The sequence below is a fragment of the Homo sapiens genome, chromosome 5 (genome assembly GCF_000001405.40).
Source record: "Homo sapiens chromosome 5, GRCh38.p14 Primary Assembly".
NCBI lineage: Eukaryota > Metazoa > Chordata > Mammalia > Primates > Hominidae > Homo > Homo sapiens.
In genome coordinates, this window is record NC_000005.10 from 21,052,179 (window position 1) to 21,074,021 (window position 21,843).

Consider the following 21,843-nt stretch of genomic DNA (forward strand, 5'->3'; position numbering starts at 1 on the left):
TAACCCTTAGCCAGCATTATCCACATAAGAGTTTTCTAAATGTAGTATGGCTCCATCTTATCAAATACTTTCTTTTCATTTCAACTTTTGAGTTGTGCCCCCAGCACTGGGAAAATATGGATCACATACCAACTGCTTTAAAGCTTTCTTCTTCTTCTTTTCTTTTTGAGAGGGGTCTTGCTCTGTCACCCAGACTAGAGTGCAGTGGCACAATCTTGGCTCACTGCAACCTCCACCTCCCAGGTTCAAGCGATTCTCTTTCCTCAGCCTCCCTAGTAGCTGGGATTACAGTTGCCCGCCACCATACCCGGCTAATTTTTGTATTTTGGCTAGGCGGGTCTCGAACTCCTGACCTCAAGTCATCCACCTGCCTAGGCCTCCCAAAGTGCTGGGATTACAAGTGTGAGCCATTGCACCAGCCCTAAAGCTTTCTTCTTAATTCAGGGGATGTTACAACTAGAATGGGTAGTATGTCACTTCTTTTATATTCTATTGGTCAGGATAGTCACTGGCCAGCCCAGATTCAAGGTAAGGGAAGACGGACTATATAAATGAATGAAAGAAGTGTCAGTGAGGGGCTTTTTTCACTCACCACATGCATAATTAAAATGAGATGAAATTAAATGTTTAAATAACATCATATGGATGACTTTCGCTAAACTAAATCCTGCTAAGTGTTTACTTTACATGCTCATATTAGATTAAGATGTGATATTTCCTACAGAAAAATGTTTTTATGACATTATAACTTTTAGATTTACATCCAGAAAAGGGCAAACATTATTTTTATGCATTATTCCGTTTACTTATTCATTTAATGAAATAGTATTTCATAAACACATACTTTGTAACAGAAATTGTGCTGGGCAATAAAATCTATTCTAAAATGAACAAGACTTTGTACTTGGTGTCTGCTGGCCTGTAATAGGAAAACTAAAAACTGAAGACGTGCTTGCAATACTGTATGACAGATATTATAATAGGGAGAAACAGAATTTTAAGTACACAGGAGTGATACCAAACCTAGCTTGTTTGGAAAAGCCTTTTCAGTGGAGATTGGCTCAATTAAATTTTCTAATTTAAAAGGACTGAGAGGATTAGAATATAAGTGCAGGCAATAATATAATACATACTTGATTCAGCATTGGTTAAGACAAAAGTAGAGTGAAACCTGGTTGAACGTAAATATCTGTCTGAGATTGGAAAAGTAAATGGTGGCACACCATGAAGGCACAACTTGTCATATTAAAGGATTTGACATAGCTCTGAGTCAACAAGGACTCCTAGAAGCAGACACATGCAAAGAAGTGGCTTTATCAAAGGTATGCAAATATCCCTCAGGCTTCTGCTTGGAGAATGGATAAATCAGAGATGGGAACTGAGGTAAACTATGAGTTGGGGGGAGGGAATTTTGGAGACAATTTTTTGGGTAACTCTGATAAAAAAAACAATGGTTACCTGAATTAAGTAGATGTTTCTTCAGAGACAGAGACTTGAACATGTAAGACAGATATTAAGAAGGTAGGTTTGACATGTTCAGAGGGCTTCGTGTAGATTAGGTGTGATTAAGTTATTTTCACATTTTTGGCTTGGATTCTGTGTTGTTTTATGAAGGTTCATTCATTCTGATATTTGAGGCCAAATGTTTCATGATATTAAATTAGGTTTGTAATGATCAGTGTTGAGGTGTTGATATAATATCTAGTAAGAAATTATATGCAGTATTTAGAATATAAAGAACACATTTGGGTGGCAAATATGGAGGAGCTATCTGCAAAGAGATAGTGACTGAAGGTCAAGAAGTGGATGGGAATGCATGCCAAAGGAAGTCAGAGAAGAGGAGAAAGATATTCTAAGGCCCTGAACCCTCATATCTGGGGACAGGCTATACCCAAGAAGGACAGTAAGAAGAGTGTTGAAAGGCAGAATGAAAAAGAGAGATATATAGGATTGTGAAAATCAAGGAAAAAATTAATTTTATTTTTATTTTTGAACTGGGAGATACTTAGCATATTTAAATACTAATGGGAAAATTGGTAAGAGAAACGAGGACAATTTTATATTTGGATGAATTTGTATTAAAAGTTAAACCCTTGGAGAGCAGAAGAAATATCTTGTTTTAGATAACGCAAGTGTGTCAGTGGGAGAGGTAGCTATTATTTTAATACCAATCTTGGAAAAATACTATATGCTTCATAAAACACTCTTTGAAAAATCACCTATCGTGATTTTGCATATCTAGATTAAGAATATAGATAGCATAAGAATGTAATATAGAACATAAGCAGAGAGGAAGAGTTATTTCTTTTGTGATTTAAAAAGGCAATTTCAGATTCTGTATAATTTAAACAAAAGATATTCATACATCATATTCATACAAAAACTCATACTTTTCCTTTTTCTTGTTGTATTTATATTATTGAAATCTGACTACAAAAGAGTTTTGGAAAATTGCCTTTACTCAATAAAGAAGAGATTATAGATATATTAATTAATATCCATATTTCTATCTGTATTTATAGCTTGTTTAAATCAGCCACAATAGGGATATTAAATAATGTGATCAAACATTTTCCTATTGCTGAGATATACAAATTTTACTATTATAAATAAAATTAAATTTATTATTTATATGTGTATGTTATATATAATATATGTGTATATTTTGGCACATATGTATAGACATTGCTACACGGTAAATTTCTGATAGTAGTATTGCATAATTAAATTATATGTAAGAAAATCATGTACCAATTAATATAACTATCAACATAGCAGTAGGATATTCAGATGCATATAAACTCATTAGGTTTTTCATTTTAACAATATTTTGGAGGGTTTATATGCATCTGGATATACTACCGCTATGTTGGTAGCTGTATTAATTGGTACATGACTTGAGAGTTTATATGAATTTGGATATACTACAGTTATGTTGATAGCTATATTAATGGCATATTATATATATATAAAATAGATACATACATATGTATATTTTTATAAAGGAACTTGACCAATTGGTGATCACACAGATAACTGTAAAATTAATACACAACCTTTGGGAGACTGAGGCTGGTGGACCACAAGATCAGGAGCTCAAAACCGGCCTGGCCAACAAGGTGAAACCCTGTCTCTACAAAAATACAAAAATTAATCAAGCGTAGTGGCGCGTGCCTGTAGTCCCAGCTACTCAGGAGGCTGAGGCAGGAGAATTGTTTAAACCTGGCAGGTGGAGGTTGCAGTGAGCCGAGATCACGCCACTGCACCCTAGCCTGGGTGAAAGAGTGAGACTCCATCTCAAAAAAAAAAAAAAAAAAAAAAATTAATACACAATAACACAGATACAAAAAAAGAGAAATTTAAGGAGTAATCACTCTTCTGTATAAAACTATAAAATAAATCACAAATCTTTTAAGATATAATTTAGGGAGCTTCTCTCAGTACAGAAGTATACTCTGAACAGCAATTTTGTATAAAATTATTTCCTACTCACCTCATAGCCAACAGAGTTGAAAATTAAGTGAATTTCAAGTGAAGTCAGGTGAAGTCATTCCATATTCATGACTCGATGTCTACCAAACAGAAATAGGATTATTTAAATAAGGATTTTGAAAAGTGTAATGGAGAACTATATTAATGATATATGAAAAGTGATCCAATGGTCTGCAAATGACAGGAGTAAATACTATGTAGTCAAAATTTGGTTCGCATATGGATGTTTTTATCAGGAGTTATATTGGCTTAAATTATAACCTGTGCTTGAGAAAAGGTTCATCCAGAAATGTAAGAAAAAAATTAATTAACCCATGCCAGCCAATTTATTTTAATTGCATTAATCTCTATTCCAGTTCAGAAATAAGGCTTCTGAGATGCTATTTTCATTTTAAATTGAAAGCATTGGGAATTCAGTCTTAAAAGACACCCACTTTGCATTACTAACAGCTCAGTGATTTTATATTTAATATTCTTTTATGTTTTAATCCTACATGTGTGAACCATGTAACATTACACCTGAAAAAAAATCACGGGAATGCACTTACTGAGAGCTACACTTTACAGACATATATACATTCATACATCCTCAAAGGAATTACTTTTCTGTTTATATCATAAATTCAAAATCAATTACATCAGCTCTAATATTTGTTCAATCCCCACTTCTCTTACAATAGAAAACTATAAGATTTAACTCTTTTTTTCCTGCCATGTTTAAATGAATCTTCAGGACTAACTTCATTATATTTCCCTATTAAAAGGGTAGTGCTATGAAAACAAAAAACTGGGCCCTATAGTTTAGGTGAAAGTTTATATATATTTACATATTTCTTTGTTTAATGTCTTTGTGAAGGCAGTAAGAATTTGTAAAATACAAATTAAGAAACATAAATTCAGAAATTTTATATATACATGACATTTATATATGTTATATATATGATAAAATCAGTCTGGGTAATTATGCAAGATTTAAATGTATATTTGCATTAGTATATTATGTATAAATTATTTACTTATATAAAAATTATATATAAAATATCAATAAATATAATTTTAATTAGTTACTTATATTTCACTTTATATTACTCTAACAAGGAAGCTGGTATTTCATTAGTACACAAAAGTTCACTTAAACCAGGTTTTGTAGCTTGTATATTTAGATGATTGTGTGAATATGTTTTCATTTGTCAGTACCTCCATAGTGTGTGTATCTGATAGCTTAAAACAAATTTATTATCTAAAACTATCTGCCTCAAATTTTATCAAAGATAGCTTCATTCATTGCCTTAATGTTACCTAAATATTTGTGACCATACACTAACACACATGCATATCTATTTTAATTATTTGTCTCCTTCAAGTAATTAATATTTGCTTTAATTATATCATTTCTCCAAATCCTTTCACCCAAAAAAGTTCAGAGATGTTACAAATTCAAGTCACCATCTGTCTTATATTCAAAATAATAGTATAGTAACTGTTTGCCATTTGCATTAACTAGAATTAAAAGTTGAAGTTTTAACTTTTCAAAACAGAAAAAAAATGTTTCTTTAATGTGTATTGGTCTTAACAGTTAAAAAACTCTAGATCCATAAAAATATTATGTGGTTTTTCATTCAACATTTGCATTGAGTGTACCAATACCAAGCAAATAATTTGATAAAATATTTCTTTCAAGAATCATGTATTGCCTTAGCAAGGTATTTTCATTTGCTGCTTATAATACCAAAGATGTGTTATAAATAATCTATTCAAACGTATTTGAGAAATTTGTCATCATATATTCAGAGTTTCTTATTTTATACCTTTCTATATTCTGTAGTCTCCTTCAAATAAAGACAAAACTAGAAACTGCAAAGAATGTACACATTTGTGAATAATTTTTAAAAATTCTTTTAGAATTTGGTGTTTTATGAAGCTGGAAAACAGATGGAAATTTTACATGGCCTTTCCTGAGAAATAGCACTATTATCTTTATCAAGATTTTGATTGATTACAGCCAGAGGTCAAAAAGTGGTAGTTAGCCAATTATTCCTGTCACTAGCAATTCTACTCATATAATTATAAATATAGTACCTGTGACACATTCACACAGTATTGATTACTCTATGAGAGTCATTCTGAAATGCAGTTAATGATTCAATAACAGTGTTCACATCATAATAGAATAATCAGAGATATTGGAGAAATAGAAGCATAAGATTTGGAAGCAGTAAATAGTTTAATGTACATAATTTGGGTCATTTTTATTTACATTTTTATATTTAGAGTACTGAAACTCTTAAATTAGAAATAAAAAGCATAATTACAGCTTAGTTTTTTAACTTTTATTTTAGGTTTGAGGGTATATGTGAAGGTTTGTTATATAGGTAAATTCATGTCACAAGGGTTTGTTTTCCATATTATTTTATTACTCAGGAATTAAGCCAAGTACCCAATAGTTATTGTCTGCCAACAAAGATAGTTTGACTTCCTCTTTTCCTATTTGGATGTCTTTTATTTATTTCCCTTGCCTGATTGCTCTGGCCAAGACTTCTGATACTATGTTGAATAGGAGGGGTGAGAGAGGACGTTCTTATTTGTGATGGTTTTCAAGGGGAATGCTTCCAGCTTTTGCCCATTCCGTATAATGCTCTTATTATTTTGAAGAATATTCCTTCAATACCTAGTTTATTGAGAGTTTTTAACATGAAAGGGTGTTGCATTTTATCCAAAACTTTTTCTGCATCTATTGAGACAATCTATGTGGTTTTTGTCTTTAGTTCTGCTTATGCGATGAATCACACGTATTGATTTGCATGTGTTCAATCAACCTTGCATCCTGAGGATGGAGCCTACTTAATCGTGGTGGACTAGCTTTTTGATATGCTACAGGGTTCAGTTTGCAAGTATTCTGTTGAGGATATATGCATCTATGTTCAGCAAGGATATTGTCCTGAAGTTCTATTTGTTGTGTCTCTGCCAGATTTTGGTATCAGGATGATGCCGATTCTTTGGAATAGTTTCTGTAGGAATGGAACCAGCTATTTGTACATCTGGTAGAATTTGGCTGTGAATCCATCAAGTCCCGGGCTTTTTTTGGTTGGTAGGCTACTTATTACTGATTCAGCTTTGGAGTTCATTATTGGTCTGTTCAGGAAATCAGTTTCTTCCTGCTTCAGTTTTGGGAGGGCGTATGTGTCCAGGGATTTATCCATCTTTTCTAGGTTTTCTAGTTTAAGTGCATAGACATGTTCATAGTAGTCTCTGATGGTTAAATTTATTTCTGTGTGATCAGTGGTAACATTCCCTTCATCATTTCTGGTTTTATTTATTTGGTTCTTCTCTCTTTTCTTTTTTTTAATGTACCAAGGGGGCTATATATCTTATTAATTTTTTCAAAAAACAACTCCTGGATTTGTTGATCATTTGAATGGTTTTTCATGTCTTAATTTCCTGAAGTTCAGCTCTGATTTTGGTTATTTCTTGACTTCTGCTAGCTTTGGGGTTGATTTGTTCGTGCTTCATTAATTCTTTCAGTTGTGATATTAGGTTGTTAATTTGAGATCTTTCTAACTTTTTGTTGTGTGCATTTAGTGCTATGAATTTCCCTCTTAGCACTGCTTAACTGTGTCCCAGAAATTCTGGTATGTTGTATGTTTGTTCTCATTAGTTTCAAAGAACTTCTTTATTTCTGCCTTAATTTCATTATTTACCCAAATGTCACTCAGGAGCAGGTTTTTAATGTCCATGTAATTGCATGATTTTGAGCAATTTTCATAGTCTTGACTTCCATTTTTATTGTGCCATGTTCCAAAAGTGTGTTTGGTATGATTTTGATTATTTTGCATTAGCTGAGAATTGTTTTATGTCAAATTACGTGGTTAATTTTAGAGTATATGCCATGTGGCAATGAGAAAAAAGTATACTCTCTTGTTTTGGGGTGGTAAGTTTTATAGAGGTCCACCAGATCCACTTGGTTCAATGTTGAATTCAGGTCCTGAATATCTTTACTAATTTTCTGCCTTGATTATCTGTCTGCTACTGTTAGTGGACTGTTGCAGTCTCCCACTATTATTGTGTGGGAGTCTAAGTCTCTTTGTAAGTCTCTAAGAACTTGCTTTATGAAGCTGGGTGTTCTGTGTTGGGTGCATATATATTTAGGACAGTTGGATCTTCCTGATTATTTGAACCCTTTACCATTATGTAATCCCCTTATTTGTCTTTTTTTTTTTTTATCTTTGTTGGTTTGAAGCCTGTCTTGTCTGAAATTAGGATTGCAGTCCCTGCTTTTTTTCTGTTTTCCATTTGCTTCCATCCCTTTATCTTGAGTGCATGGGTGTCACTCTATGTGGGATGGATCTCTTAAAGACAGCGTATCATTGGGTATTGCTTTTTTATTCAGCTTGCCACTCTGTGCCTTTTAAGTGGGGCATTTAGCCCAATTACATTAAGTTAATGTTTATTTGAGTGGATTTGTTCCTGTATTGTATTGTTAGCTAGTTATCTTGTTGGCTTGTTTGTGTGGTTGCTTTGTAGCGACATTGGTCTGTATTTTTAACTGTGTTTTTGTATTAGCTGGTAGCAGTCTTTCTACATTTAGCGCCCTTTTCAAGATCTCTCGTAAGGCCGGTCTGGTGGTTAACAAATTCCCTCAACATTTGCTTACCTGAAAAAAAAATATTTCTTCTCACTTAGATTAGCTGGTTATGAAATTGGTGATTGAGGATGTTTTTTCTTTAAGAATGTTTAACATAGGCCCTAAATCTCTTCTGGCTTCTAGGATTTCAGCTGAAAGTTCTGCTGTTCCCTTTGTAGGTGACCTGCCCTTTCTCTCTAGCTGCCTTTAACATTTCTTTTTTCATTTTGAACTTGGAAATTCAGATGATTGTGTGTCTTGGGGATGTTCTTGCTGTGTAGAATCTTGCAAGAGCTCTCTATATTTCTAGAATTTGACGTTAGCCTCTCTAGCAAGAATGGGGAAGTTTTCATGGATGATCTCCTGAGATGTTTTTCAACTTGTTTGCTTTCTCCCCTTCTCTTTCACAGATGCCAATGATACACAGATTTGGCCTGTTTACATAATCCCATATTTCTCAGAGGTTGTGTTCATTCCTTTTTCTTTATTTTTTTCTTACTGTCTTATTTCAGAAAGCCAATTTCAAGTTCTGAGATTCTTTCCTCAGCTTGGTTTATTCTGTTGTTAATATTTGTGATTGCATTGTGAAATTCTTGTATTGTGTTATTCAGCTCTGTCAGACCTGTTAGGTTTTTGTTTTTGTTTTATACCAGCTATTTCCTCCTTCAGCTCCTGTACTGCTTTATTGTGATCCTCATTTCCTTGGGTTGGGTTTTGCTCTTCTCCTGAATCTCAATGATCTTTTTCCTACTAATATTCTGAAATCTATTTCTGTCATTTCAGCCAGCTCAACCTGGTGAAGAACTCTTGTTGGAGAACTGGTGCAGTCATTTGAAGGACATACGATATTCTGGCCATTTGCGTTACCAGAGTTTGTGCATTGATTCTTTCTTGTATCTGTGTGTGTGTTTTCCATTAACTGCACTGTAGATTGAGTACAGTCTATGGACTTTTCCTCTGCGTATTTTCACTGGCCTGAAGCTTTGTGCAGGGTCTTTATTTGAAACTGACTTCTTATCTATGGTTTCAAAGGGGGAACATATTGGTAAAGTATTTTGATGTTGAAGCTCTGGTGTGTGATCCAGTAGGTGTCATTTAGGTTTAGTGGTCAATTGGTGGACTCATACTCAGTTATGTGGCTCCCCTATTTTTCCTCACAGTTGCAGCCATGTTCCCTCCCAATGCTCTGAATGTGTGAGTTTCTCTACCCCTTGAGTGCTGGCTGTAGATCACAGCCTGGTATTTCTGGGCTGCCCACTGCAGCTCTGGGGTAATCTCAGTGTTTATGTTTCTTCCCCAGTTTGGAGGCAGCAGAGGAAAGGAACTTAGTAGTGATTGTGGCCCAGAGTCTTTTGCTTTTCTCCTGAGAACTCCACCCCAGAGAGGTGCAGGTCAGCAATTGTTCAATGCAATCAGCAAAGCATGGAGGATTTGTACTGTGGACACAAGCCAGAAGTTTCATGTCTGATGATGAGCAGTTGGGGGTGTTGGAAACATGTGAGATGGACTGGCCTCCTCTCCCTAGGTTGACTGCAGGTTGTTGGAAGTGTGGATAAGGCACTTAGGATCTCTGATCCCTTATTAGTCCAAGTGTAACCAGGGCAGTTCCACTGCAGAGACAGTAGCAAAGAGGCTTTCAGTTGCCCTTGGAGGCTCTGCCCAAGGAGTTGACAAGTTGCTACTAGTTTGATATCTCTGGTGAAGGGTGGCAGAAGGCCCAGGCCTAGAGGACCTGTCAAGTGAGGAGATAGGGAAATGAGCACCAATGTAACAGCCTAACCACTTTTCCATAGGGCTGCTGTAGTTTGCTGGCGGCCCACTGCGGTCCCTAGTCACCTCGGATTTTCTAGTACCTGGAGGTATCACCAGTGAAGGTTAAGAAACAGCAAATATGGCAGCTCGTCACTCCCTCTGGGAGCTCCATCCAAGGGATATAGAGAATTGTTGCTGGCCCAACCCCACCTGTAGGAGGTGGCTGGAGAACCCAGCTGGGAGGTCCTGCCCAGTGAGAAGGAACGGGATCAGACCCACTGACAAAAGCAGTGATATAGTTTGACTCTGTGTCCCCACCCAAATCTCATTTTAAATTGTAATCCCCACATATTGAGGGAGGGTCCTATAATCACTACATGTTAAGTAAGGAAAGTGATTGGAGCATAGGGGCACTTTCCCCTTTGCTGTTATTTTCATAGTGAGTTCTCACGAGATTTGATGGTTTTATAAATGGCAGTTTTCCCTGCCTTCCTCAATTCTCTCCTGCTACCTTGTGAAGAAGGTGCCTGCTTCCCCTTTTGCCATGATTATAAGTTCCCTGAGTCCTCCCCAGCCAGGCGGAACTGTGAGTCCATCAAACCTCCTTTGTTTATAAGTTACTCAGTCTCAGATGGTATCTTTATAGCAGTGTGAAATGGACTAATACAGTAAATTGGAACAAGTAGAGTAGGGTACTGCTATAAAGATAACCTGAAAATGTGGAAGCAACTTTAGAACTGGGTAAAGGCAGAGGTTGGAGAAGTTTGGAGGGCTCAGAAGGAGACAAGAAGATGTGGGAAAGTTTGAAACTTCCTAGAGACTTGCTCAATGGTTTCGACCAAAATGCTGATAGTGACATGGACAATGATGTCTAAGTTGAGGTGGTTTCAGATGAAGATAAGAAACTTATTAGGAACTGGAGCAAAGGTCACTGTTGCTATGCTTTGGCATAGAGACTGGCAGCATTTTGCCCCTGCCCTAGAGATCTGTGGAACTTTGAACTTGAGAGAGATAATTTAGGGTATCTAGCAGAATAAATTTCTAAGCAGTAAAGTGTTCAAGAGGTGACAAGCATAAAATAGTGGAAAATTTGCAGCCTGACCATGTGGTAGAGAAGAAAAACCAATTTTCTGGGGAGAAATTTAAGCCAGCTACAGAAATTTGCATAAGTAACCAAGACAATGTTAATCACCAAGACAATGAGGAAAATGTCTCCATGGCATGTCAGAGACCTTGGTCGCAGCCACTCCTATCACAGGCCTGGAGGCCTAGGAGGAAAAACTGGTTTAACGGGCTGGGCTCAGGCCCCACTGCTGTGTACAGTGTCTGGACTTGGTGCTCTGCATCCCAGCTGCCCCAGCTCCGGCTATGGCTAAAAGGGACCAAAGTACAGCTCAGGCCATTGCTTCAGAGGGTACAAGCCCCAGGCTTTGATGGCTTCCACCTGGGGTGGGGACTCCAGTTGTGCAGGAGTCAAAAACTGAGGTTTGGGAAACTCTGCCTGGATTTCAGAGAATGTATGGAAATGCCTGGATGTCCAGACAGAAATCTGCAACAGGGGCAGAGCCCTCATGGAGAACCTCTGCTAGGGTGATGCGGAAGAGAAACATGGGATCAGAGCCCCTACATAATTCCTACCGGGGCATGGCCTAGTGGAGCCATGAGAAGATTTTCATCATCCTCTAGACACCAGAATGGTAGATCCACTGACTCTTTGCACCATGTACCTGGAAAAGCCACAGACACTCAACACCAGCCTGTGTAAGCAGATCAGAGAGGAAATATACCTTGCACATCCACAGGGATAGAGCTGCCCAAGGCCATGGGAGCCCACCTCTTACATCATCATGACCTGTATGTGAGATATTGAGTCAAAGAAGATCATTTTGAAACTTTAAGGTTTAATGACTGCCCTATTGGATTTCAGATTGCATGGGGCCTGTAGCCTCTTCATTTTGGCCAACTTCTCCAACTTGAAATGGGTGTATTTACCCAATGCCTTTACCCCCATTGTATCTAGGAAGTAACTAGCTTGCTTTGATTTTACAGGATCATAGGTGGAAGGGACTTGCCTTGTCTCAGATGAGACTTTGGACTCGGACTTTTGAGTTAATGCTGGAATAAGTTAAGACTTTCGGGTACTGTTGGGAAAGAATGATTGATTTTGAAATGTATAAAGTATACGAAATTTGGGAGGGGCGAGGGGATATAAAATGGCTTGGTTCTGTGTCCCCACCCAAATCTCGTCTTAAATGGTAATCCCCATATGTCGAGGGAGGGAAATAATTGGATCATGGGGTCAGTTCCCCCATGCTGTTCTCATAACAGTGAGTGAGTTCTCATGAGATCTGATGATTTTATAAATGGCAGTTGCCCCTGCCCTCCTGAATTCTCTCCTGCCACCTTGTGAAGAAGGTACCTGCTCCCCTTTCTGTCACGATTATAAGTTTCCTGAGGCCTCCCCAGCCAGGTGGAACTGTGAGTTGATCAAACCTCATTTGTTTATAAATTGCCCAGTCTCAGATGGTATCTTTATAGCAGTGTAAAAACAGACTAATGTACTGGCCATGGTTTCACAGTGTAGCTATGCTGTGCTGGGGGTCCAGTTCAGCCCTTAGTCATCTTGGACACTCCAATCCCCAAAGGCTAGAAAGGTGAAGTCACCGAAATAGCAAAGATAGTGGCCCACCCTTTCTTCTGGAAGCTCTATCTCAGGGAGATTTGAACCTCTGTCAGCTGGAGAACACTGGTGGGGGTAGCTGGAGACCCTAGTTGTGAGGCCCCACCCAATGATGAGAAATGAGATTGGAGACCCACTTTAAAAAGCAGTTTGGTCACATTTTTGTAGAGCAGTGTGCTGTGCTGGGGTACCATTTCTACCTCTGGTTGGCTTAAACCCTCCAAAGCCTGAACGCTGAAACAGCTAAGTTGCCCAAGCAGCAAAGATGGCAGCCTGCCCATCTCTCTGGGAGCTCCATCTCAAGGGGGTTTCAAATCTCTGTTGGCAGGAGAACACCAGCAGGTGTGTCTGGAGGTCCTAGTTGGACTGTCCTGCCCAACAAGGGGGTATCTTTTTACATATAAGAAATGCAAATAGGTTTTACTTAAGGAATATTAAACATTTTCATTGTATTGGAAAATTGTGTTTGTTTTATCTATGCTTTCAGTTTGAAATGGGAATAAAGTAATATGATTGCATATTATGTGCCATATGTAGCAAGAACTCATAGGATTCTCAAAATATTTCCGGAACAAGAAAATATACATTGATATCCACATGAAAAATATGTAGAGTGATTATGGCAGTGGATTGGATTTCAGATTTTTTAATAAAAATGAGAGTATTATTAAAATAATTATGAAAGTAATTATGTTATTATAAAAATAAATCTTAAAAAGATAAATTACTGGAGTCTGTATAAGTATATATTTGTGTGTGTGTGTGTGTGTGTGTATGATGTATTTTTTTAAAGAACTTATTTATGATTCTCTATGCCTGAAATAGGATAGCCATGCATCTTTCCATAAAGTTTTATGTTAATAAAAGTGAAATGGTCAACTCTAACTAGCTGATGTGATTTCTGCTTCTAATTTGTTGTCAAGATAGAATGAAAAATCTTCATGTTGCAAAATTAGTAGATATTATATAAAATATTAACCTCTTTATTTTAAAATATTTGGCAAACTCACAGAAAGCAAGAGAGTTCCCCAAAGGCTTACAAACAACAACAGAAACAACTATGAGCTAAAAACAGATGGGTGGAACCAGAAGACCAAATGCCAGTACTGGGCACATGATACACGTTTATAGTTATGTGAAGAATGGGGAGTTAGGCTTTAAATCACTGTGAGGTGAACAATTAAAATCAAGATAACCTAGATAAAAGTTGGGTCATTGTATGAGGAACAACCTAATAACAAGGAGATGATATAGTTTGCATATGTGTTCCTGCGCAAATCTCATGCTGTATTGTAATGCTCAATATTGGAGGTAGGGCCTGGTGGGAAGTGACTGATCATGGGGTAGATTTCTCAGGAATGATTTAGCACCATCCTCTTGATACTGTCTTCACAATGGTGATGAGTCCTCAGAAGGTCTGGTCGTTTACAAGTGTGTGACACTTCTCGCTTCTCCCTCTTCCTCCTGCTTTTACAATGTGACATTTTGTTCCCATTTTGTCTTTTGCCATGATTGGAAGCTTCCTGAGGCCTTCCCAGAAGCAGGTGCTGCTGTGCTTTCCATACACTATGCAGAACTGTGTGCCAATTAAACAAATTTTCTTTATAATTATGCAGTCTCACGTATTTCTTTATAGCAATGCGCAAATAAACTAACACAGGAGAGTTGCAAAAACATCAACCTTTCGGAAAATGTCTTCAACAATAAAACCTCTATTCTCTGGACTTTAGAAAACTGAGATGAAAACACAATAATTATTTTTCCTGAGAAAATCTAAGATGAGACATTAAAACAATACTTCAAAAACATAAATAATGGTATCATCATATGATGGACTATTATATAGCCATCAGCTTTAAAAAATTGTTGCTCCACATGACAGCATAGCCGAATATGGTGAAAATAATCTTAAAAAAAAGAATACCACCACAAAAGGTTGTGCTTTACATTATTTAGTGTTTTGAAGTTTGAGTTATGGCAAAACAATTTGTTCATTGTCAGAAGAAGGGTTGTATTGAAGGGTGGTAATGACTGGGAAGCACAAAAGCAACTGCTGATCTGCTGAAAATATTACATTTATTGATTTGGATGCTGATTACACAGGAAAATTTAATTTATTAAAATCCATTCACATGGATCTTTATGATCTTTACATGTCAGTCTACATATTACTCTTCTCTAAAGCTTCTGCTTAAATTAAAAAAAAAGTCTTAAACATAAGTTGTGGTCTAAGTGATCTTCTTTCATATGGTACCACTAAATCCACTGAAGATGAATATGTTTCTGTCTTTGGAGTTCCACTGTCTACTCTGCTCAACCTGCAGCAGTGGTTTGGGTTCAGATCAATTAAACTCATAACACAGGGTTTTTTAAGTTGACTTAGTTTTAAGAAATAATTTAAGACAGGCAATGATGCAGCATTCAAAGCCATAGTATAGCAGGATATTTGAGATTCTGTAGTGCAAATCCCAATGTCCTAACTTGATAATTTGACATGCGGTCATGGTAAATAAGGTGAGTATTTGTCCACACATATTGGAGATATTTTAGACTGGCTATGTAAGTCAACTCAGATTTGGCCACTCAACATTTGCAAAAATAACTAACAAGGATGAAGTATGGTGGAATAAAAGTGACTTTATTTACGAAATTTAGCAGTGGGGAAGTGTTCCAGGCTACTGTCTAAAGAAACAATTTCAAATTTTGGGGCAGAATGCAAGGGTTTAAAAAGGCAAGTTTGGGCCAGGCATGGTGGCTCACGCCTCTAATCTTAGTGCTTTGGGAGACAGAGCGGGAGAATCACTGGACACCAGGAGTTTGAGGCTGTAATCAGCTATGATTTTGCCACTGCACTGCAGCCTGGGGAACAGAGCAAGACCTTGTCTCAAGAACAAAAAAAAAAAAAAGAGTTTGAAATGAAGGGCATGTAGGAGAGACAAGGCAGTTTAGGTCTATGTGACTTATTCCAATTACTTATCTTGAATTATTGCCCCATCTGATGAATGGGCTAATGCCATCTTGGACCTGAGCAGGTTGTAAATTCATCATAGCCTTGAAATAATCTCTTGGGGCGGGGGGGATTTCCATAGGCACCTGTATTATCTCAAGATTAGGGCTCTGGAACTCTAAGCAAGCATATGATTACATAAAGTAGCAATATAAGAGAGTATCTGGTGGAAATGAAAGTAAAGGTTACTGCCTCATTTAGCACAAAGCATGAAAGGAGGAAGGGGAAAAAAGAAAACACTTTAAAATAGGGTACTCAGTTACAGTTAGAATGTCCCTGCCTGTATGTGCTTGTAGTGTGAGCCTCCAGGTCACCTGATTACTGTCCTTTAATTTGATCAGATTTTCTTTCTCTTTCAACTGTGTATGTCCAGTTTCCTTGGAAATAGTTACTTCTAGTGTCCCTCTTATACCCAAAGTGAGTTGCCAGAAAAGTCCTTTCCATTTCTAGTTTACATCAAATCTGCTTTCCATGGTCACAAGAACACCTTACTGCATTGAGGCCAGCATTGGTTGAGTCATCAAAAGTGCTGAGTACTTGTTGTAATGGTGAAATTCAAGTAAATTATAAGCAACTTCAAGTAATGTGGCACAAAGGCAATTGTTAAAGGATCATGTTCAGAGGTTTCAAGATGCATTTTGTTCAACATGCAAAAATTGTTTCCCATAATTGTCCTTTCTGGAGTTCTAGGGGCAAATAATCACTGATCTTTAGCTACTATATCACACTAATATTAGTTCTTTTAGACATTATTCTAATGTATTGAATAGCAATTTCTATAATTTTTCATGTACACTTCTATCTGATCTAATCAAGAGAACAAAGCAGAATCTGATACAGAAGCAGGCAGTTGGTAAATTTAACTGTTGGGCAGGGCCCTCTTTTTCAGCCCCATTAGTTAACCATGCTCAGCCAGTAATATGTGCCTTTCCCATTTTATTTATTTATCTATTATATGATTATGATTATGATTATGATGATGATTATTATTATTGAGATGGAGTCTAGCTCTGTTGCCCAGGCTGGAGTGCAGTGGCGCCATCTTGGCTCAGCTTCCACCTCCCAGGTTCAAGCATTCTGCCTCAGCTTCCAGCTGGGATTACAGGCACGTGCCACCACACCCAACTAATTTTTATAATTTTAGTAGAGACAGGGTTTCGCCATGTTGGCCAGGCTGGTCTTGAACTTCTGGCCTCAAATGATCTGCCCACCTTGGCCTCCCAAAGTGCTGGGATTACAGGCGTGAGCTACCACTGCACCCAGCCCCATTTTAAACTCCTCTTTGGCTTATTTCTCTAAGAAAAAATACATCAAGTCATCACTATAATTAATCCATTTTATTTTGACAGTAATCAAATTTAAATCTAGTTACAGAATATTAGTTCAATACATTTGAGAATATAGATACCCTGAATAAGAGGGTTGTTATGATTATCACAGCACTGTCTATGTAAAAGTGATTATTTTCTTTTTCTTTACTTTCAAGGTCAATAATATAGAAAGAATTAACTAAGTCTACAGGGAAATAGTAATCGCTTCAGGCTTTGGAACTTTCTACAACTTTCATCATGTCCAACAATGTGGAGGGTAAAATGCCTGAAATTATTATAGCCACAATAGTTAACAGTTAGTGTCTATGAGCCATTTAGGTTTTTCACAGAGCTGATAGAACTGAAGTAAACCATTTTGGTGGAGATTAATGTATTTTATATGCTAATGAGATGGCTGGTAGCTGAGGGTCCCTACATGGCCTCAGGATAGGAGCTTGTTGTCGGGAGTACCATCCCTGTGATTAGAGGTTTGGAACTTTCAGTCCCACTGCCCGCCTCCTTGGAGGGGAGAGGGGCTGAAGGTTGAATTAATCACCAATGGTTCATAATGTAATTAATCAAACTCATATAATAATACCTCCATAGAAACCCAGAAGGACTGAGTTGAGAGCTTCTACATAGCTAAATAATTGGAGGTTCCTTGAGAGTGGCACAGCTACCCAGAGAGGGCATAGAAGCTCTTCTTCCTTTTTTCCATACCTTGCCTCATGGATCTCTTTCATCTGGCTCTTCATCTGTAACTTTTGCAGTACAGGGTTAATGTGAGTAAACAGTTTTCTTGAGTTCTCTGAGCTACTCTTGCAAAGAGAAAAGATAGCATATATTCATCCAAAGAGTTGTACATAAATGTTCATAGCAGCATCATTCTTGATACTAAAATACAGAACATTTGAACTATCAACTAGTAAATGAACAAATTGTAGCATACATATACTATATAAGGCTAACAAAAAAACAACTAAATATTTTAAAACATTATGGTATATGAAAGAAATTGAACAGAATATACTTAAATTATATGATTATATTTACAGTAGTATCTCCTTATCTGAGGGGGATACATTCCTAGACTCTCAGTGGATGCCTGAAACCACAGATAGTACTAAACTCTATATACTCTGTGGGTTTTTTAATACATACTGAGACCTAAAAATGAAATCCTAAGCCCCCCAAGTGAACAGATCCCCTCTTGTCCAAGAGGACCACCTCAAGAAACCTTGAAAACTGAGTTCCCTGCCATGACAGGAGGAGAGGTTAGACGAGCCTCACTCTACCTCCTCCTTTGCTTTCTTTCCCAAGAGTTAAACCAACTAGCCCTTTGGAAAGGCTATATCCACTATTGATATCAACTGCCTGCCTGACACAGTCTCTCCCTTTTGTAGTTTTTGCACAACAATCAACAAGCATTCCTTTCTGATAAGAGACCACTGACTTTCAAGTGGTTCTGGCCAGTCTGCAGAGGATGCACAGTGAGGGTTTTCTTTTGTTTTGCTTTTTTGAGACGGAGTCTCGCTCTGTTGCCAGGCTGGAGTGCAGTAGTGCAATCTCGGCTCACTGCAATCTCTGCCTTCCGGGTTCAAGCGTTTCTCCTGCCTCAGCCTCTCTAGTAGCTGGGACTACAGGTATGCACCACCACACCCAGATGATTTTTGTATTTTTGGTAGAGACGGGGTTTCACCATGTTGGTCAGGATGGTCTCGATCTCTTGACCTCGTGATCCACCCACCTGGGCCTCCCAAAGTGCTGGAATTACAGGCATGAGCCACTGCGTCCGGCTACAGTGAGGGTTTTTAATGCTTCACCTTTTAATGTTACAGGGCCAAAAACTCCATCCTCAAATCATTTTTTGAACCTGGGGCTTATGAAGAGGCATGAAGCTTCATTGCTCCTGCACATGTTTCCTCTTTCATAAATATTCATGACTCCTCCTATAGCCTATTAAATATGTATATTCAGCCACCCTGCTCAGCATAAATTCCTTTCCCCTTTGCTCCTCCCTCATAGTGTCTTTTTTCCAGCTTCTGCCTGGAGGCTATGCTTCCCAGTCTGTCAGAATGGCTACCCTGCAGGGTGCAATGTTTAAGAGAAATAAAACTCTTCTTTCCAAATTTGTGAACAATTCTTCAGTTGACAATACATACCTATGATAAAGTTTAATTTATACATTTGGCATAGTAAGAGATTAACAATAATAACTAACAATATAATAGAACAGTTGAAACATTATATTGTAATAGAGGTTAGGGGAATGTGATCTCTCTCACCCAAAATATCTCATTGTAGTTTTGATCTTAGCAACCTCAGCACAAGATGTTTCTCCTTTCCTTAAATGGAGAACTTCCACTGTTTCACTTAAAGGACACATTTTACTGCATCTCTTTAGAATATTGGTTCAAATTGTCAGCGTCACTCCTCTTGGGCTTTAGGGCCTTTATTAAATATAATTGAAAAGAACCTTCAAAGCAGACACTAAAATACTGCAATGGTCAATCTGATAACCAAGAAGTCTCCTTTGTGACTAACTGGCCGGTAGCATCTATAAACCACATATGCTGGACAAAGGGATAATTCATGTCCTGAGAGAAACAGGGCAGGATGGCGAGAGATTTCATGAGTCTACTCAGAACAATGCACAATTAAAATACATAAATTATTTATTTCTAGCATTTCCCATTTAATATTTTAAGGCCAAAGTTGGCTGATGATAACTGAATCCCCAGAAACGGAAACTGCAGATAAGAGGGGATTACTGTATATTAAATTCTAGGGGAAAAAACCTATAGCAATTAAAAAAAAAATCAGTGGTTGTGTCGGGCAGGAACAGGGGAAAAATTCAAACACAAAGGGACTGGAGGAAATTTCTTGGAGCATCGTTTATGTTCAGTATCTCCATTCTGGTGATAGTTTCATGATTGAATAAAATCACGAAAACTTATCAATCTGAATACCTTAAAGAGAGATTTCTTGGTATGTAAATTCTACCTCTACAAAACTGGCAAACAAAACAAAACTAAACTAAAATGGACTCTGCTCTGCTGAAAAGCATTTTTCTGACTTTTGAATGTCTTTTGGAGTGACTTGGCTGGCACGGCCCTTCGTGTTTTGACCCCTGCTCTCCTCTGAGTGTGTCACCCATGAGTTAGTTTCCTGCTCCGTCTGCTGCATCAGCTTCTCCCACCTTAATAAAGATTCAGTGGTTTCTCGTCTCTTAGTTTTCTTCCACCAGGAACATGTTGCTCCTTCTCTGCCACTTTGCTTAGCTAGCTGATATGCAACCTTTAGGTATTGAATAAATTTGAAATAACTCTGTAAGGGAAAACTCCCATGATCAAATTGATTTAGGCTTCTGATAATCTGTTCTCAAAATACATTGTACCAAAAAGTTTTCACACTCATTCTAATGGCTGTATTTATTCAATATTTTTCCCACTCTGGTTAGATGTTAGCATTTATCATTCAGAGACAATGTCTTTTTTGTTCATGGTCTTATGCAGTAGAGACCCCAGTGAAAAGTAAGTTCTGAAATGTATGTTAAGTAAATTTCTTTATTAGATAAATAAGTTGCAATTGGAATCCTATTTGGTAGGTCTGCCATAGTAAGATACCACAGACTGGGGGACTTAAACAAGAGAAATTTATTTTCTGAGTTCTGAGGGCTAGAAGTTCAAGATCAAGATGCCAGCAGGTTTGTTTCTTTTAAGGCATTCTACTGAGCTTGCAAATAAGCACCCTTGGCCTGCTTCTTCACATGGGTTTTCCTTCAGTGTACACATATGATTGAGTAAAATCATATGATGTCTACATGTGATGTCTACAGGTGTTTTTTTTGTGTATACATTTCTCCTTCTCCTTCTTCTTCCTCTTCTTCCTTCGTCTTCTTTCTTCTTCCTCTTCAAGAAAGGGTCTCATGGCCGGGCGCAGTGGCTCACGCCTGTAATCCCAGCACTTTGGGAGGCTGAGGTGGGCGGATCACGAGGTCAGGAGATCGAGGCCATCCTGGCTAACACGGTGAAACCCCGTCTCTAATAAAAATACAAAAAAATTAGCCGGGCATGGTGGAGGGCACCTGTAGTCCCAGCTACTCGGGAGGCTGAGGCAGGAGAATGGTGTGAACCCGAGAGGAAGAGCTTGCAGTGAGCTGAGATCGAGCCACTGCAGTGCAACCTGGGCGACAGAGCGGGACTCTGTCTCAAAAAAAAAAGAAAAAAAGGGTCTCACTGTGTCACCCAGGCTGTAGCTGAGTGGCATTATCACAGCTCTCTGCAACCTTAAACTCCTGGGCTTGAATGATTCACCTGCCTCAACCTCCAGAGTAGCTACGGCTACAGGCACAGGCGACCATACCCGCTAATTTTTAAAATTTTTTGTAGAGCTGTAGTCTCACTGTGTTGCCCAGTCTTCAACTCCTGGCCACCAGCAATCCTCCCACCTCAGCCTCACAAAGAGCTGGGTTTACCACTGTAAGTCACTGCATCTGGGCCAAATTCCTTCTTCTTCTTTTTTTATTTTTCTTTTAGACTGAAGTCAGATTTGTTTATGGTTTTCTCTACCAGCCTCATTTTAACTAAATTCCCCCTTTGAAGGCCATGTGTGCAAATAGAATTGCGTTCTGGGATACTGAGTGTTAGGGCTTCAGCATATCAATCTGAAGGGGATGCACATTCTGTCCATAACGTCTGGAAAATGAAACCAAATACAGATAGTGCCTCACACAGTGGCATGTTTTTTTCTCAAAAACCTTCCTTGAGATTGAGTTATTTTGGACATGGATAATTCCCATTTCCCTTTCCATCTGTCTGTAGCTAATAGCCTGGCATTTAGTTGAGAATGAAAAAAAAAGTTTAAATTTAGTTGTATTAAACTAAGTGCAAGGACAAAAAAATGAGCTAATTTATCATTAACTAATTGATGTTTAAGCACCACATAGAAATTCTTAGTACACTTATTATGTAAAATGCCC

General features: G+C 37.8%; 1 long non-coding RNA gene across 3 annotated transcripts in view; it reads right to left on the minus strand.

Moving 5' to 3' along the window:
- The window catches only part of LOC105374678 (uncharacterized), a 108,785-nt gene that overhangs the window by 44,253 nt on the left and 42,689 nt on the right, over positions 1-21,843 (minus strand). For 2 of the 3 annotated variants that reach the window (XR_001742406.2, XR_925839.3), the window contains exon 3: positions 3,494-3,572. This is a non-coding gene — a long non-coding RNA (uncharacterized LOC105374678). Of the gene's footprint in view, positions 1-3,493; positions 3,573-17,582; positions 18,402-21,843 lie in introns of those variants that run through there. The other variant, XR_925838.3, reaches the window with a different exon arrangement.